The 19,854-nt window shown below is 42.5% G+C and overlaps 1 protein-coding gene and 1 pseudogene across 2 annotated transcripts in view; one reads left to right on the top strand and one right to left on the bottom strand.

The window, feature by feature from the left end:
- ALKBH1 (alkB homolog 1, histone H2A dioxygenase) overlaps positions 1–19,854 on the top strand; it is a 35,620-nt gene that overhangs the window by 1,282 nt on the left and 14,484 nt on the right. For both annotated transcript variants that reach the window (NM_006020.3, XM_047431848.1), the window contains exons 2-3: positions 2,265–2,373; positions 11,842–12,004. In NM_006020.3, the coding sequence (NP_006011.2) occupies positions 2,265–2,373; positions 11,842–12,004 (272 nt within the window). The remainder of the gene's footprint in view (positions 1–2,264; positions 2,374–11,841; positions 12,005–19,854) is intronic.
- ZMYND19P1 (zinc finger MYND-type containing 19 pseudogene 1) lies at positions 9,378–9,973 on the bottom strand (annotated as a pseudogene).

The raw sequence follows: 19,854 nt of genomic DNA, 5'->3' as shown, positions 1-19,854 counted from the left end.
TTTTTCTCTCCAGAGCGCTTCAGACTCTCATTCAGCTCCTTTTACCTACATTTTACCATAATATGTACATGCTTTTTAGAATGTCAGCCATCAGGGAATGAGCCATTATGTGTCTAGTACAGGACCTAAAACAGTACTAAGTACAGTATGTGTTGAGTACATGAAAGCTTGGGTGTTTAGTTCCTCAGCTCAAAGCAGATTAAAGTAGTAATTAAGAGAAGTTACTATTACAAGCCAGCTGATGAGACTGGTGGGGAAAGTGGTGGTTAACAGTCTGGCAAGGGAGGAAAGAGAAAACCTTTTATAAAAGCTCAGTGGTGTCGTTCAGTTTAGCATATGATAGAATAGGTCCACTAACATCACCTCTGAGAGTGTGTTGAATTATAGTGCAGTATTAAGTATGGCCTATTAAAGAAATCATGACAAAATGCTTAAAAGTGTTTTACCAGTGCCTAGGTACCTGGAAAACTCAGCTGATAGTACTGTCAGAGGGTTTCATATAGCCCTTTTATTATAGAGACTGGTTATACATCAGCAAACTTTTGGTATTTTGTCCAGGAATCTCCACACTTGGAGAAGTTGATAAGATAAAAGATCATTCTCTTTCAAAGAGAATGTTTCATATATATATATATGTGTGTGTGTATATATGTGTGTGTATATATAATATATATACTTTTTTTTACTGAGACAGCGTCTCACTGTGTCACCCAGGCTGAAGTGCAGTGGCGTGATCTTGGCTCACTGCAACCTCCATCTCCTAGGTTCAAATGATTCTTCTGCTTCAGCCTCCCAAGTAGCTGGGACTACAGGCACGCGCCACCATGCCTGGCTAATTTTTGTATTTTTAGTAGAGACGGGGTTTCGCCATGTTGGCCAGTCTGGACCCAAACTCCTGACCTCAGGTGATCTACCTGCCTTGGCTTCCCAAAGTGTTGGAATTACAGGTGTGAGCCACCGCTCGGCCTGTTTCATATATTTTAAGGCAAGGCAGACCCTAGGTTTACTATTCAGGGAAGAATAAAGGTTTTTTCCTTTAATGTTTTGACTTCAATGACTGCATAGTGGGTCTCTTAACCAATGTAATGAGCCATCCATTAGATACTCACATACAAAGAAAACTTCAGCCCCTGAAATACTAAATTCATTTCTAAGTAATTAACAGAAGCAGAAGTTGTAGCGTCAGTTGGACATTTCATCTAGAAGAGGGCAAACAGGATTTTTTAGCTTTTACTTTTAGCAGACAGGATTCCCAGTGTCTCACTGCAACATTTTTTCTGTCTGTTTACAGCACTCTCTTTTCATTCTCTTTTTTTTTTTTTTTTTTTTTCTTAGACGGAGTCTTGCTCTGTTCCTAGGCTGGAGTACAGTGGCACAATCTCAGCTCACTGCAACTTTCACCTCCCAGGTTGAAGCAATTCTGGTGCCCCAGCCTCTCGTAGCTGGGATTTCAGGCGCCCGCCACTACACCCAACTAATTTTTGTATTTTTAGTAGAGACGGGGTTTCACCATGTTGGCCAGGTTGGTCTCGGACTCCTGACCTCGTGATCCGCCTGCCTCAGCCTCCCAAAGTGCTGGGATTACAGGCGTGAGCCACTGCGACCGGCCTTCTCTTTTCATTTTCTCACCCTGTCCAGCTTGGTGTTCCTTATAGCTCTGTTTAAATACCAACTCTATACAAGTGTCTCAAAAGCATTACTGTTAGCCCTAACTGAAGTAAATAGCTTTGTGACTCAAGATATTTCAGTACACCAAGCACCTTTCATGATTCAGCCCCATAAGAAGTTGGAAAGGTATGATGTCATAGGAAAAAGTAGTTTTGAAAGCCAAAATTAGCCTGCTTAAGTTTTCTTATTACCATTTTGCCTTAATTTTGGGTGACTCTACTGTTACTATATAGATGAGAAACTGAGGCTCTAAGACATTAAATGACTCATCTAAAATGCCCAGATCAAGTAAGCAGTACAGCTAAGATTAACCCCAGAGTTAATACTCCTTGCTTTGGCCAGGCACAGTGGCATATACCTCTAATCCCATTGCTTTGGGAGGCCAACACAGGAGGATCACTTGAGTTCAGGAGCTTGAGGCTGCAGTGAACTATGATCATGCCTCTGCACTCGCCTGAGCAATAGAGCAAGGTTCTGTATCTTAAACAAGAATCCTAGCTTTGCCTCATACAAGAAATGTGTTTGGAGGTTTGAGGTTCCCGGGGTTGACCTGCAAAATAGATTTAGTCCTTTAACTTCTGTTTCCTTCCTGCCAGGTGATCAAATCTCAGCTAAATGTGTCTTCTGTCAGTGAGCAGAATGCATATAGAGCAGGTCTTCAGCCCGTCAGCAAGTGGCAAGCCTATGGACTCAAAGGCTATCCTGGTGAGTGTAACTGACCTCAGAGAAGGCAATATCACTCAATCATTTATGTCTTCATGTCTTCAAAGAAGGTACTGTGTGTGAGCAAGTAAATAGACAAAGGATACACATAATAAACAGATAAATGTTTCATTTCCAAACCCATTCTAGACTGTACCTTGTCTAAGACGTCCGTTTTGAAAGGATAGAACAGGAGTCAGCAGTGCCTGCAAATGTGGCTGAAAGTGGCATGACCATTGAAAAAATAAGGACATTGCCTCTGGGCTCCCTGCCACAACTCTGAACATCTGATTTGGCAGAAGTGCTGTGAAGAATAATTTATCATTATCATTGTAATAAATGTCATAATAGTTATGAATAATTCATAATTGTCCCTCTAGTCACATTCTCAAATGGCATAACAACTTAAAACTTGTTGCTATCAAGGCTGAACATATTTAATAAAGAATTACAATTAATGACATCAAAAGTCCTCGCCAGGCGTGGTGGCTCATGCCTGTAATCCCAGAACTTTGAGATGCCAAGGTGGGTGGATCACCTGAGGTCAGGAGGTCAAGACGAGCCTGGCCAACATGGTGAAATCCCGTCTCTACTAAAAATACAAAAATTAGCTGGGCATGGTGGTGCGTGCCTGTAATCCCAGCTACTTGGGAGGCTGAGACAGGAGAATCGCTTGAACCCAGGAGGTGGAGGTTTCAGTGAGCCAAGATCGCGCCATTGCACTCCAGCCTAGGCAATAAGGGGGAAACTCTGTCTCAAAAAAAAAAAAAAAAAAAAAGCTGGACGCAGTAGCTCACGCCTGTAATCCCAACACTTTGGGAGGCCGAGGCGGGCGGATCACGAGGTCAGGAGATTGAGACCATCCTGGCTAACAAGGTGAAACCCCATCTCTACTGAAAATACAAAAACAAAATTAGCCGGGCATGGTGGCGGGCCCCTGTAGTCCCAGCTACTCGGCAGGCTGAGGTGGGAGAATGGCATGATCCCGGGAGGCAGAGCTTGTTGAGCCGAGATTGTGCCACTGCACTCCAGCCTGGGCAATAGAGCAAGACTCCATCTCAAAAAAAAAAAAAAGAAAGTCCTAATAGGGACCAGGCGAGGTGTCTCACACCTATAATCCCAACACTTTAGAAGGCCAAGGTGGGAGGATCATTTGAGCCCAGGAATTTGCGACCAGCCCGGGTAACATAGTAAGACCCTGTCTCTACAAAACAAAATTTTTTTTTCCCAGACAGTCTCACTCTGTCGCCCAGGCTGGAGTACAGTGGCACAATCTCAGCTCACTGCAACCTCCGCCTGCCAGGTTCAAGTGATTCTTCTGCCTCCCGAGTAGCTGAGACTACAGGTATATGCCACCACGCCCAGCTAATTTTTGTATTTTTAGTAGAGACAGGGTTTCATGTTGGCCAAGCTGGTTTCGAACTCCTGACATCAAGTGATCCACCCGCCTCGGTCTCCCAGAGTGCTAGGATTACAGGCGTGAGACACCTCACCTGGCCAAAAAAAATGTTTTTAATTAGCCAAGTGTGGTGGCATGCCTCTGTAGTCTCAGCTACTCAGGAGACTGAGGTAGGAGGATTGCTTGGGGTGCAGTGAGCCGAGATCGTGCCACTGCACTCCAGCCTGGGTGACAAAATGAGACCCATCTCATTTTGCAGAATAGATTCGTCTGCAATTTTAAATTTAGTAATGTTAGGTAGCTGCTTTTACAGAGAATGAAATTAAGAAAATAATGAAGAATAGGTAATGTTATTAACCTTTTTTCTAGGCTCCTGGGGCCATTGTAAAAGTTAACATTGCACTTGTGATTTCAAATATGGGTTAAAAGTAAGAGAAATCTTTAAAAAGAAATGTTAGTTTTCATTGTGCCAATGGCCAGGACTCTATGGTACAGCTCTTAATACGTTATGACCACCGAAATACTTGTTAATAGCTTGGGAAGATATAACAGCCTGGCTCCTCTTGAGTTTGGGTAAATGTAGAGCATGCATCACCAATAGTCTTGTTCTTGGAGGCCGCTCCTCACCTTTCAACTCTAGCACTTATTTTTATTTATTTATTTATTTATTTTGAGACAGAGTCTTGCTCTGTCGCCTAGGCTGGAGTGCAGTGGTGTGATCTCCGCTCACTGCAGCCTCTGCCTCCCAGGTTCAAGCAATTCTCCTCTCTCAGCCTCCCAAGTAGCTGGGACTACAGGCACCCGCCACCACGCCCAGCTAACTTTTTTGTGTTTTTAGTAGAGATGGGGTTTCACCATGTTGGTCAGGCTGGTCTTGAACTCCTGACCTCAGGTGATCCACCTGCCTTGACCTCCCAGAGTGCTGGGATTACAGGCGTGAGCCACCACGCCCGGCCTCTAGTACCTATTTTTAAGGCCATGATTCTCTGTTGCTCTAGGCTTTCTCCCCTTAACAGATTGTTCATGCCACAAACTTAACCCCACTTGAGTTTTAAATTGTCTAAACTGCTGTACTTGCTTTCTGAGGCTTTCTAGGATTTACTGCTTAATTAAGCCACATCTTTTGGGTGGGTGTCCCATTATATCCTTGGAGAGTTTATTCTGTCTCTCTTGCCATTATAAGCTGTGTTTATTTTATTTATTTATTTTTTACTTACTTTCCCCTATAAGCTGTATTTAATAGAAATATAATGTCCAAAATACAGGAGAGAACAGTCTCTTCTTACTCTGAGTTGATCAAAAGGATTGTGTTTACTTCTGGATCTGACTTAATCTGAAGGAAGCTGAGTATACTACAACCTGTCCTCACACTTGTGTGAGGACACATCCTCTTGAACAAGAGGATAATAGGCCTGGAAACCAGAAACAGAATCTAGGGAAGAAAAGACTTATGGGGGAACTTGACAGCATTAAACATTGAAAAATTGTCCTGCACAAGAAGTGGTGGGAAGCAGTGCACACCAGTGGTTAAGGCGTAGGTTCTGGTGCCAGGTTACCTGGGTTCATATCCTGGCTCTGCCATCTACTAACTGTAAGACTTTGGGCAAGTTTTTAAATTCTCTTGCCCTCAGTTTCATCATATGTAAAATGTATATAAAAATAGTACCTACTTCATAAGGTTCTTATGAGGATTAAATGTTAATGTATATGTTAACTGCTTAGATCAGTGCATTTATCAAGCACTTAAAAATGATTTGGGGTTGCTCTAGGTGTCAGAACCCAAGACCAATGACTGAAAATTATAGAGAGGCAGATTTTTTTTTTAATCTGGAGAACATGTAGATGCAAGATGGGCAGAGTTTGGTTTTGTTTGTTTTCTTGAGACAGGGTCTCATTCTGTCACCCAGTGGGGTGCAGTAGCACAATCACGCTTCACTGCAGCCCTGACCTCCCAGGCTTAAAGGTTCCTCCCACCTCAGCCTGCCTAGTAGCTGGGACCATTGGCTTGCACCACCATGTCCAGCTAATTTTTTTTTTATTTATTTTTTGTAGAGATGGGGTCCCACTATGTTGCTCAGGCTAGTCTGGAACTCCTGGACTCAAGTGATCCCCCTGCCTCGGCCTCCCAGAGTGCTGGGATTACAGACCTGAACCACTGTGCCTGGCTAGGAGGCAGATTTTAACCCACTAAAAAGAAGACAACAGTTGTCTAAAATGGACTGCCTAAAGAGATGTTAAATTTCCTGTCACCATTCAAGCTTGGACTAAACCAGAAGTATTATTCCTTTAGTCTAATATGTTTGGGAATATTATAATATTCTTTATTTCGTGAAATTGTGGTGATAGCAGGTGGTAGGTTGTTGGGGGGTTTCCTATCTTTTTCCATAATATTGATGATCCTATCATTCTCCCAAACTATTTGGAGAATTTTACTGATAAATGAAACATAAAATCCAAATGTATTTTGGAGCTACTTTAGAAGACATATGAAAAATCAGATTACTGGTAAACTTTGTCTGTATGAGGTTTCCTTGATGCCAAAAGCTCATTGACTTTGGTCATTAGGTTTACTTTGGAGTATATGCTATTGATAATATTAAATGGTGGAACAGGATTAATCAACTGCAATGAGGAACCTGTCCACATTGAATATCTCTAAGCTATCTAGTTTTTTTCTATATCTGCAAGAATCTAGACATAGAATTTTAAGTGCTTTTAGTAAGATTTAGTACAGTAGAGGAATCTTCAGGTTATTTCCTGTGTATTTCTACGATGGCATAACCTCCTTTCAGCTGAACCATATGTGGTTTTAAATCTCTTTGAAATTCTGATAGTGGACCATTGATGATATTGTTCAGAGATTTGTTTGGTTAGAGCCTAGTATTTATTTATTTATTTTTATTTATTTATTTATTTTTTGAGACAGAGTCTTGCTTGTCGCCCAGGCTGGAGTGCAGTGGTGTGATCTCTGCTCACTGCAAGCTCCACCTCCCGGGTTCATGCCATTCTCCTGCCTCAGCCTCCCAAGTAGCTGAGACTACAGGCGCCCGCCACCACGCCCAGCTAATTTTTTGTATTTTTTAGTAGAGACGGGGTTTCATTGTGTTAGCCAGGATGGTCTTGATCTCCTGACCTCGTGATCCGCCCTCCTTGCCTCCCAAAGTGCTGGGATTACAGGCATGAGCCACCGCGCCCAGCCAGAACCTAATATTTATAATGCAAAGAGCATAGGTTTGTTGCTTATGTGGGCTTACTGGTTTTGCTTGTTCCATGGCCGCAAATCCAACTCTGTTTGTCGTATCCCAGATTGTTTGTTTGTCTTATCTCAAATGTGTGCTAGCCTTGTGATGGGCCAGGAGAGAGGGATGAATCAGTGAAGCCATGTTACCCCTCTGAAATTCTGTTCTCTTATCTGCAAAACTGGATTAATAACTTCCTCATAGAGTTACTGAAGATTAATGAGATAGCATAAGGTTGCTGGCACAGTGTCTGACACTTGTAGGCATCTAGTTATTTTTAGCAGCTACTATAATTAATGACTTAGGAATAAACTTACTTATTGTTAATTGCTGTTATTAAACTTTATCATTATTCCATTAATTTATGACTAAATTATATGCCAAAGAGAAAAGAGGAAAAGTAGTTAAGTAATAACAAAGTTGTTTCTGTTTTAGGCTCTCGGCTCAGTGTCTTTACTGTCTGCTTTCCATAGTAATTCTCCCTAAGGATATTTCCATAAAATGTGTCGTTATTGCTAATAGTCTACGCCAGGACTTGGCAAACTGCAGTTTTATTGTAAATACATTTTATTGGAATACAGCCACACCTTTTTGTTTACTTACTATGTATGGCTGCTTTCTGGCTACAGTGACAGAATTGAGTGCTAAAGAGACCGAATAAGGGCAAGCGCAGTGGCTCAGGCCTGTAATCCCAGCACTTTGGGAGGCCGAGGCGGGCAGATCAGTTGAGGCCAGGAGTTCAAGACCAGCCTGGCCAACATGGCAAAATGCCGTCTCTACTAAAAAATAAAAATAGAAAATAAATTAAAATACAAAAATTAGCCAGGCATGGTAGTCCAAGCCTGTAATCTCATCTACTCAGGAGGCTGAGGCAGAAGAATCGCTTGAACCAGGGAGGTGGAGGTGGCAGTGAGCCAAGATTGTGCCTGGGTGACAGAGCAAGACTCTGTCTCAAAAAAATAAAAATAAAGAGACCAAATAACTGTCGAAGCCTAGTCTTTACTATCTAGTTCTTGACAGAAAACATTTGCTGACCTCTGGTCTAGACTAGATCTGGAGTTCAACCAGGAACTGAAGAAGACCTTCAAATTATTGCCAGCATTTAATTCAGAAATCCTTAAGCTTTAGTCTGTTCATCTGTTTTTAAAATCCTTTTGCAAGGGGAACATTACACTAATATATGATGCTTGGCTTTTATATCATTGCTTGGATTCCTTCTTGTTCCTCAGGACCTGTCCAACCATGCTCACTTTTGTTGAGATGACCTTGCTATTTATCTTATTGGGAAAACTGAGTCCCTCAGGCACAAACCCTTTGAGCCTTCAATGCCCCCAACACTTATAAGCAAATGTTCTCATTTCCACCATCCAGTCGTAGAGGAGGAGTTCCTTTAGTTCAAAGCCAGTCTCTCTACCCTCTTGATCCATCTCACCTTCTTAAACCTCTTCCAGCTTTCAAGACCTTGCTCTATTTCTTTCCTCTCTTCTGTTTCCAAGTGGCTCTTCCCTGTTGGCTCTTTCTTCACAATCTGTAAGCATACTTAGGTCTTGCCAGTCCTTAAAAACCAAAAACTACCCTCTTAACTCTATTTTTCTGTGACTATGCCTAAGCTTTTATTTTCTTTCATAGCTGGTCTTACAAAAAGGAGTTTAACTTGTCTTTATTGCCCCCTCTCCAGACAAGGTTTTTTATCACTTTATCTCTAATTCTTTTTTTTTCTTTTGAGGCAGTCTGTTTTTGTCACCCAGGCTGGAGTACAGTGGTGCAGTCTTGGCTCACTGCAACCTGTGCCTCCTGGGTTCAAGCGATCCTCCCACCTTAGCCTCCCAAATAGCTGGGACTACCTGCGTATGCCACCACGCCTGGCTAATTTTTGTATTTTTTGTAGAGACAGGGTTTCACCATGCTGCCCAGGCTGGTCTCGAATTCCTGAGCTCAAGTGATCTGCCTGCCTTGGCCTTTCAAGTGCTAGGATTACAGGCATCGGCCAGGCCACCATGCCCGGCTTCTAATTCTTTTTTTTTTTTTTTTTTTTTATTACAGCAAATGATTTTATTTGTAATTTCTACCCCACTCAGTGCCTCCTCCCAAAAAACCTGCACATGAATTTACAAACCTATTAACGTATAAATAATGAGAAACATCCTGGCCAGAGTCTCCCGGTTGTCTTTGCTGGAGATTAAGACTGGAGGGGACGCTATCTTCATACACACTTCCAGTGACATCGAGAGTCACTTGGTGGCTGTTCTGGGCCCACAGCTGGCTTTTTCAACACCTCCAAGTTCAACCACCAGTCTGTCTGCTGTGTCCAAGGTAGAGCCCAGGGACTGCGAGCATGTGCAGCTCCATTGCCCGTCATTGCTCCAGCTGAGGTCATGCTGGAAGGGGTGCTTCCTCTCCTGACAGTGCTTCATGGTGGCCAGCCCGCTCCTGCTGGCACTCAGAGCCTCAGTACTGGGCCACCTGGCAGCACCCACAGATTTTGAACTCCTGGAGCTACTTCTCAATCACTGTGCAGGAAGGGTAATGCTGCTATAGTAGGTGTAAGAATTCAACTCTTCCACCACGTCTCCATTGGTGTTACAGTACCAGGTCACAGTTAGGACAGGTCACTGCTCTTCTTTGGGGTCCATGGGAAGCTGCTGAATTGCAAACCAGTACAAGCTTTGCTACCTCTTCTGGAGGTCTCTTTGGCTTTGGGCCACCAGCCCCACAGCACCAGCTACAGGTTGTCCAGGCAATTGTCTCAGTCAGGGCATTGAGACGTACCGCCTGGAACCCAGGGGTCATGCCTCTTCTGTGCTCCCACAGCAACTCATGAAGGAGTCTTCCCAATCCTCTTCCTCAGTGCTTGTCAAAAGCATACCTGAATATCTTAGTACCATTTCTATCTGCATCTACTTCCATTTGGACCTCAGAGGAGTATCCCTCCACCAGCAGGATATCTTTGCTCATCTGTCAGCGTATTTGGTCTTTATCTGACTGCATACTGCCTATACTACTCTCTCCTACCAGAAGCTACAGCCACTGGTGACAGGAACAGAGCTCTCATGAGGGTAAAGTCCCTGGCTAGTACAGCTACACAGGTAGCTCCCTCGCAGCCAATGAGCTGAGCCATGTGATGTCCAATTTGAAGTCAGTCACAGCCAGGCCTATGCTCTCAGCCAGCAGTGCCACTCCCATGGGAGACAGGGGTGCTGGGGCAAGGCCAGGGCTAGGGTCAGGCCAGGCAGGCCCCAGGTAGGACAAGACCAGGCCCGGCTCACCTTGTTCATGCCAGACCTCCCAGGCACTGACCTCTAATTCTTAAGAAAGTGCCTAGTACAGACCAGCCTGGCCAATATGGTGAAACCCCGTCTCTACTGAAAATAAAAAAAATTAGCTGGGTACAGTGGCAGGCACCTGTAATCACAGCTACTTGGGAGACTGAGGCAGGAGAATCACTTGAACCCGGGAGGCAGAGGTTGCAGAGAAGCAGGATCACACCACTGTTCTCCAGCCTGGGCAACAGGATGAGAGAGACCCCCATCTCAAAAAAAGAAAGAAAGAAAGTGCCTGGCACATATTGTGTGTTTGATGAATGAATGAATCTTTACCATGCGTAGGATTCCAGTTAAATATTATTATTTATCTTTTGTTTTTGAGACAGAGTCTGGCTCTGTCGCCCAGGCTGGAGTGCAGTGACGTGATCTTGGCTCACTACAACCTCCACCTCCTGGGTTCAAGTGATTCTCCTGCCTCAGCCTCCTGAGTAGCTGGGATTACAGGTGCGTGCCACCACGCCCAACTAATTTTTGTATTTTAGTACAGACGGTTTCACCATGTTGGCGAGGCTGGTCTCAAACTCCTGACCTCATGTGATCCGCCCACCTCAGCCTCCCAAAGTGCTGGGATTACAGGCGAGAGCCACCACGCCCGGCCTATTATTAATCTTTTACAGAGAAAAATGAGGTTAGGTTGCTGTCAAGGTCACAAAGATCTTTAACACACATGCTGTAATTGTTTACAAACACTGAGATAATACAGAGACACTAACTGCAGGAATTTGCAAACACTGAGATATTACAGAGACAGTAACTGCAGGAAGCAACTGTCACCCCTGCAGCTGAGAAGAACAACAAAAGAGCTTGGGATTACTACATTGAGAAGCTTGGAAAAGGGACTACATGGAACTGGGGCTTAGACTTCTGAGGAGAGGACATAATGAGGCTGATTCTAGTGATGTGGAAAAGCTACATTAGAACCAACTTCCGCCCTCCAGTCTTCCATTAGTGACCCTTATAGGCACAGGTTAGCAGACAGCCAGCTGGCAAATAAGAAATGTAGCTGGCAGGGTCTCAGCCCCATATTATGAAGCTAAGTATAGAAGAGTGGATTTGAAACTGAGAGAAAATAGACCAATAATGAGCACGCCATTCATTAGACGATGACTTTCAAATCTATGTTTTAGCTAAAATTCATTATAAGATTTCGTGTAATCATGCCTGTAATAAATGAAATAGGGAGGTAAAGAAGTCTCGGATGACTCTAAGTGTCAAGACCTGATAAAAATTAGAGGTGTACTTTTACCACTTCCAATTCTAAAGTTTGCTTTGGGATAACAGTTGTTGTGGAATATTTATTTCTCTTGAGAATACCCAGAAAGCCAGACACATTTGCATAGGGGTAGATGTCTAATGTTCATCAAAACCTACCTGTTCATTAACTTGAAGCATGACCAAAAAAATATGGGGAGTAAATAACAAAATAGTGAGTATAAAGATGTCAAAATTATTTGAATAACTGATGGAGAATTTCCCCCTCTTCTTTTTTTCCCACCCATCTTTTGTATAGGGTTTATTTTTATCCCAAACCCCTTCCTCCCAGGTTACCAGTGGCACTGGGTGAAACAGTGCCTTAAGTTATATTCCCAGAAACCTAATGTATGTAACCTGGACAAACACATGTCTAAAGAAGAGACCCAAGATCTGTGGGAACAGAGCAAAGAGTTCCTGAGGTAAGTCTTGTCAATCAGAATGAAGTGTTAATACTCAGCTCAGATCATCACAGGTCTTTGAAGGAACTGTTCTATAACAATGCAGTAAAAGTGACTGGCTGGGTTTTTTTTTCCCTTCATTGTTTCCAAGCAAAAACAGCACAATTGTATTCTTTCCCCAGGAACATTTGGACAGATGCTTTGACAGTTATAGTAAATTGAGATCCATTTTAAAGACTTGCTTATCATAGCTTAGATAATTGAGTTCATCCTCATTAATCATCACATGATCCATTTCCATTAGCTTCAGCCATTTTTTTCTACTTAAAGTGAGTTCCTTTGAAGGCTTTTGGTATCCTAGGAAAGGTAACATCGAAAGCTCTTTGCTTCTACCCTCCTAGATGGATTCAGTGGTACTAGCCGTTTTATGATAGGTCAGTTGTTCCTGATGAGAATAACTAATATTTTCACCTTCATGCTTCAACATTCATTCATTCATTCCACAAATACTTAATGAGGGTCAGTAGTGTGTCAGGCATGATGCTAGGCGTTGGACACAGAAAGATAAAGGCACCCTCCCTGCACTCAGTAGTGCATAGTCTCTGGCAAGAATGCATTACCTATGAGAATAATTACTGTAGAGCTCAGAAAGTGTTATGATGCGGTTTAGAAAAATACTGTGGGAGCATAGAGGAGGAAATAATTATTCCAGGCAGGGTAGAAGTGTGAACGAAGAAAAAATGATTTTTTGTTTGTTTGTTTTTTGTTTTTTGAGACAGAGTCTCACTCTGTCACCCAGGCTGGAGTGCAGTGGCGCGATCTCAGCTCACTGCAACCTCTGCCTCCTGGATTAAAACGATTCTCCTGCCTCAGTCTCCTGAGTAGCTGGGATTACAGGCATCCACCACCACGCCCCACCAATTTTTGTATTTTTAGTAGAGATGGGGTTTCGCCATGTTGGCCAGGCTGGTCTCAATTCCTGACCTCAAGTGATCCCCCTGCCTCAGATTCCCAAAGTGCTGAGACTACAGGCGTGAGCCACCAAGCCCGGCCTGAAAAAATGATTTTTTTATTGGGTTATCCTCCTTTCACTGTCCATTTGAACTAATCTTCAAAAATGAGTAGGGGTTTACCAGTCAGAAAAGTAAAAAGTCTCTACTGAGTAGAGAAAGCAGCCTGAGCAAAGATACAATATTTAAGACAGAATAAATCGTCCTGCGAGACAAGAGCATAGGATGTGTACTTTCTTACGTTTATTCAGTTGTTATCTATTGAGTTTCTGCTATGTGTCAGACACTGTGCTTTAGTGTTAGAGATTCAAAGGCAGATAAAAAACAGTTCCTGTCTTCAAGAAATTTGTACTTTAGTTATGTTCAAAAACCTACAAACAGATAATTAGATACAATTTGGGTCTGGGCTTGGTGGCTCATGCCTGTAATCTCAACACTTTGGGAGGCCAAGGTGAGAAGAACACTTGAGGCCTGGAGTTACCAGCCTGGGCAACATAGCAAGACCCCATCTCTATGAAAAAAAATTTTTTTTTTTTTTTTTTGAGACGGAGTTTCGCTCTTGTTGCCCAGGCTGGAGTGCAATGGCATGATCTTGGCCCACTGCAACCTCCACCTCCCGGGTTCAAGCAATTCTCCTGCCTCAGCCTCCAGAGTAGCTGGGATTACAGGCAAGCGCCACCACACCCGGCTAATTTTGTATTTTTAGTAGAGGTAGGGGTTTCTCCATGTTGTTCAGGCTGGTCTTGAACTCCCGACCTCAGGTGATCTGCCCACCTCGGCCTCCCAAAGTGCTGGGATTACAGGTGTAAGGCACTTCCCGGCCCCAAAAAAATTTTTTTTTTTAATTAGCTGGGCATAGTGGTGTGTGCCTGTAGTCCTAGCTACTCGGCAGGCTGAGGAGAGACTGTCTCTAAAAATAAATAAATTAAATAAATAAATAAATAAATAAATACAATTTGGTAGGTGCAGGGACAGACATTATAAGATATAATGGGAATGGTCACTTAAGTAGCTAGGCTGGAGGTAGATTATAGAAAATGCTTCCTGGAAGCCATGAGTAGGTGGAATTGGTAAAACATGAAGGAGGAGAGGTGGATTTGGGCCAGATGGTAAAGGTTTTAGTGATGTAGAGCAGGGGGGTCCCCAATCATGGGGCAGCAGACCTAGACAGCCAAGCATTACCACCTGAGCTTCGCCCCCTGTCAGATCAGCAGCAGCATTAGATTCTCATAGGAGCGCGAACCCTGTTGTGAACTGTACATGCAAGGGATCTAGGTTGCGCACTCCTTATTGAGAATCTAATGCCTGTTCATCTGAGATGGAACAGTTTTCATCCCCAAACCACCCCCCATCCCCACTCCATCCATGGACAAATTCTCTTCCATGAAACTGGTCCCCAGTGCCAAAAAGGTTGGGAACCACTAATGTAGAGCACTAGTTCTGGAGTCAGACTGACTGTGTTCAGATCCCAGCTCCACCACTTAATAGCTGTGTAACCTTGAGCAAGTTCCTTCACCTTTCTGTGTCTCATAACAGTTCTTTCCTTATTGAATAGTATGAGGATTAAACAAGATAATACGTGAGAAGTCCTTTAAAGTGCCTGTTAAAACCATTTTACCAACTTTGTGTCCCGTTTGGTGTTACGTGGCCTTAATTTTGTAGTTTTCAGAAACTGTCATGCCGATTCTAACAGAGTAAAGAGAAGATTTTCTTAAGGGGAAAGGAAAAGTAAAATTCAGTGGTTTTTTTTAAACCTTGGTCTATAGGTTATGGTATCAACAGGAGCAGTGAGGAAAATCCTGTCCATGAGCTTTTAGTAGTGTCTTCTTCGCAACTGAGAGCAGGGGAAAGGAAGATCGTGGTTAAGTAAAATTAGTCCAAGAGAACCTACTGCTATTAAACCAGCCTGTGTTTTCAAGTAATTTTTTTTCCTTCTGATATATGACTCTGCAGAAATCCCAGCTGTCTTTTAAGATAGCTCAGATGAATCTCTGTAATAAATCATCCTGTAAACAATGGTGAGATACCTTTTTTTTGGTCTAATAAATTAGCAGAAATAAAAAATTTGATGGTCGTACCTTATGTTGTCAAGGGTTGGAAGAAATTGATATGCTCAAGACATTGTACTGGCAGCACTGAAAATCGATTAAGGCCAAGTTTTCATTGTATCACTATGTGATACGTGCTTCAGTTTCCTCATGTAAGAAATGAAGGTATTGGACTGGATAAGCCATTCAAGGTAATTGAATCATGGGCAGTCAGGGTCATGTGGACAGTACCTGGCAGCTCTCCCAACTTTGCCAGAGTCTCTCAGAACAGGAGAGAGTCTGTTGAGTTCAAAACAGTTCCCCTGGAGATTTTGATTAGGTATCATAACATCCTCTGACATTGAGAACCACTGAAGTAAAGGACCTCTAAGATCCTTTTGGTTTTAATTTTCTAGAATTCTATAGTCAGGGAAGAAAAAACTTTAAATAGGAAATGAAGAAGAAATACTTGAACTTAAGCAAAAACAAAAATTATTTAAAAAAAAATACTTGAACTTAAGGACTGTTCAAAAAATTAGAGTACCTCAATTCTGTTCTTTTTTTTCCAAAGTGAATGGCGTAGCTAGAGATTGTTGTAAAAGTGTACAAGAGTTATGTGCAGGCCGGGCACGGTGGCTCATGCCTGTAATCCCAGCACTTTGGGAGGCCGAGTTGGACAGATCATCTGAGGTCAGGAGTTCGAGACCAGCCTGACCAACATGGTGAAACCCCGTCTCTACTAAAAATACAAAATTAGCCGGGCATGGTGGCGCATGCCTATAATCCCAGCTACTCAGGAGGCAGAGGCCGGAGAATCACTTGAACCCGGGAGGCGGAGGTTGCGGTGAGCCGAGATCACGCCATTGCACTCCAGCCTGGGCAACAAGAGTGAAACTCCGTCTCAAAAAAAAAAAAGAGTTATGTGTAAACATCTTCATTGTGACATTGTTTGTAACAGAAAAAAAAAATGCAAAACAGCCTAAGAGTTCATCAACAGGCGACCAGGTAAATCTAACGTGACATATCCCAGACATAGAATGCAGCTGCTGTGCAAGGATTAAAAAAACTTTAAATGCAACCCTCTAGTATATATTCCAGACTTCAAAGCCAGAATAAATTCAGTCATTTCTCACCATCTCCATCACAACTGCCTTGGTCTAAGCTGCCATCATTTCTTATCTAGAGCACTGCAGTAGCCTCCTAACCAGCCTCCCTTCATAGCACAAACTCAGGTGTGGTTCCAAGGGCCCACCTTGATTAACAGTGACACTTTATCACTCAGGAAATTTCAAGGGTTTAGAAGTTCCCTGCCAGGAGCCAGGGACAAAGACCAGTCAAATTCTTTGTTGCATAACATCATCACATTTAGAAAAAATCCAGAATTCTTAACCATGGCTGTAAGGCCAATATGACCTGGCCCACAGCTACCTCTCTACTCTCATTTCCTACCATTCCTACCTCATTTCCTTTTCATTTGTTCTTTTCTGCCACATTGACCTCCAGTGCTATCCTTAAACACACTAGGCATGCTCAAGATTTTTTTTTTTGTACAGGCTGTTCTACCTAGGAAGCTCTTCCCTTAGATCAACAGTGTCTTGCTTCTTGTAAGTCTTTGTTCTAATATCATCTTAGAAGAAAGTCTTCACTTATCATTCAGTCAACAAGAATCTCCTACTTCCCCTCATTCTTTATCTTCTTGCTTTGGTTTGTTTGTTTATTGCCACTTTTTTTTAGAGATGGTGTCTTGCTATGTTGCCCAGGCTGCCTTGAACTTCTGGGCTGAAGCAGTTGCCCCACCTCAGCCCCCTGAATAGCCGGAACTACAATTTTCTGTCTATTTTTTGTTTTCTAAATTTTTTGCTTGATTTTTTTTTTAATTAAGTGCAACATAGTTGCCAAATAACAACTTAGCTTTATTTGTTCTGTAAATTAGCTTATGAAATACTCTATTTTTATGTATATGAAAGCTTTTTTCCCACTGTTACCCTCATTGTGGAAGCAGAATTAATCCTCTCCTCTTTCTACTTGACTGTTTATAATGCTAGTATAGCATTTTTTCTAGTGAATTGAGTTATCTACCCCTGTCTCCTTCCATTGCCTTCCTCTCCCATCTTGAAAATTTTGTAGCCTTGATTCTTACCACAGTTCTTTGTATATATTAGAAGGTGCTCAGTAAATATTATTTCAATTAAATTCATATTCCCTCTTTATTAGTCCAATAAGAACAATGCTAAATTTGAGAAGGATCATTTAGAGACTATATAGCTTTTCTTCTTATTTTCACTAATTTATTAAATAATGTACATTTGTGTCTTAGAAAATATGTGATGCTAGGATAGCTATGAAGAAGAATAAAAGCCAGTGAGGGAGGGACTGTTAAAGGAGGAACCCAGGTACTTAAATAAGGAATTTACAATACCAAAGCATGTATACTTGAATAGAAGTTGCAAGGTGCTTTGGGGGCACGATATAGGAAATGGCTGGGAGAAAGACTTCCCAGAAGAAGTGAGTGTAAACTGTATGAAAAAACAAATTGGAAAAATCTGCTAGGCTGAGAGTGGAGTAGAGCATTTCAGTAGAGAAAATTGTATAGTCAGAGGCACGGCCATGAAAAACATGAGAATAGCATACCTTGTGGGAAATGCTTGGAGATGAGACTAGAAAGGTTAGTTAGAGCCAGAATATAAATGGCTCTGCATGTCATCTAAGAGTGTGGACTTTGTCCTATTAACAGTGGGTATTTATCAGGATTAATAACAGATTTTTCACTTCAGAAAAATAACTCTGGTAGTGGAGGAAATTGACTGAAAATGCAGTGGTTGCAAAAAGCACAATTAAGAATTTAGTTCAGGCCAGGCGCGGTGGCTCACACCTATAATCCCAGCACTTTGGGAGGTCAAGGTGGGGGGATCACCTGAGGTCGGGAGTTCAAGACCAGCCTGGCCAACATGGTGAAACCCCGTCTCTACTAAAAATACAAAAAATAGCTGGGCATGGTGGCAGGCGCCTGTAATCCCAGCTACTAGGGAAGCTGAGGTGAGAGAATCGCTTGAACGTGGGAGAATCGCTTGAACCCGGCAGGTGGAGGTTGCAGTGAGCCAAGATCGCACCACTCTACTCCAGCCTGCGCGACAGAATGAGACTCTGTCTCAAAAAAAAAAAAAAAAAGGCTGGGTGCAGTGGCTCACACCTGTAATCCCAGCACTCTGGGAGGCTGAGGTGGACGGATCACGAGGTCAAGAGATCAAGACCATCCTGGCCAACATGGTGAAACTCTGTCTCTACTAAATCTACAAAAATTATCCGGACATGGCAGCACGCACCTCTAGTCCTAGCTACTCAGGAGGCTGAGGCAGAAGAATCCCTTGAACCTGGGAGGAGAGGTTGCAGTGAGCTGAGATCACGCCACTGCACTCCAGCCTGGCGACAGAGCAAAAGCAGAGCAATTGAGACTCTGTCTCAAAAAAAAAAAAAAAAATTTAGTTTAATCCATGCAAAAGATGATAAAGGCCTCAAAAAGATGTTGTCTACAGAACTTAGTTACCAAGCAATTATAAAAAGTGAGAGAAAAGAAAGTTAACAATTATCTACTGATTTCTACATGGCAGTGAGGGTAATACTGAGGCTTGTAATGGAAATAAGTATTGAAAGAAGAAAAGAATGAGCAGAGACTATCCTTAGTGTAGTTGGGGCCATACTGTTTTTTGAAATGCCTGTAGGGTATCCAGGTGGAGATGTCCAGCATGATTTTGGAAATACAGAACTGAGCTTAGGAGTAACTAAGGGTGAGAGGGACACGAAGAGAGATGAGATGAGGAGTTACACGTAAAGGCCATAGTAAAGCGCTGAAAATAGATGTGGTTTTCTTTCTTCTCTTCTTTTCACTTTTCTTTCTCATCTATAGAAAAGAAGGCTGTTGGCCCCAGGAAGCCTCAGCACAGGATGAAGAAAATAGAGCAGGAAAAGACATCAAGCAGCCAGAAGGATATGAGGAAAAACAGAAGAAATGCTGTTAGAGGCTAAGACAGGAAAATGTTTCAAGAAGAGAAGGGCCAGCCATGTCAAATAGGTCTAGGATTTGACAATTAATTGGTGTAATGAAAACTAAGAAACTAGATTCAGTAGTGGTGTAAACAAAAGTCAGATTATGGTGAGGGGAGAGAGTGAGGAAGGCAAATGCTGAATTTTTTAAAAGTTTAATTATAAAGGGAAGGAAAGATAGGGGGTAGAAGGAGGTGAGGTATAAGCAGGGTAGCTTGCATAAGTGACAAAGAAAATGTTTTTATTGTCTATTCTTAAGTATGTAGGAGTATTAAACATGTTTGAAGGCCAAGAGGAAAAAACAAGTTCAGAAGAGGACTTGAAAGTATGAGAAGAAACATTCTATTAATGGAGAAAGGCCTCAGAGGCTGTGTCAGGGAAATAGGATATAGTATAGGTAGAGAATTAGCTTTGGAAGAAAGAAGTAGGACCACTTCTGAAACCAGGAGGATCAGGTGAAAATTTAGAGAAGTTTAGTGGTGTGGGGGAGGAAAGTTGAAATTGTTCACTGGATCATTTGAGCAGGCTTCTGTTTTCTCACTGACATAGAAGGAAATAAGAACAAAACTAAGGACTTGAGATGAATGGTGAAGGTTTAGAACAGAAGACGGTTAGATAAGACTGAATATTTGCAGGATAGCAAGAGGATGTTAGCAGTTACAGTGGCATTGGATGTCCATTTGCAGTGAGTGACTGGGAGTGTCAAGTTGAGAAGGGAGAGAGAAAACTGGAAGCACTCAAACACTGAAAGAATGGGGTGGCCAGGCACAGTGGCTTACGCCTGTAATCCCAG

The sequence above is a fragment of the Homo sapiens genome, chromosome 14 (assembly GCF_000001405.40).
Source record: "Homo sapiens chromosome 14, GRCh38.p14 Primary Assembly".
Lineage (NCBI taxonomy): Eukaryota > Metazoa > Chordata > Mammalia > Primates > Hominidae > Homo > Homo sapiens.
Note: the sequence above shows the minus strand (reverse complement) of the source record. Positions and strands in the feature narration are given on the sequence as shown.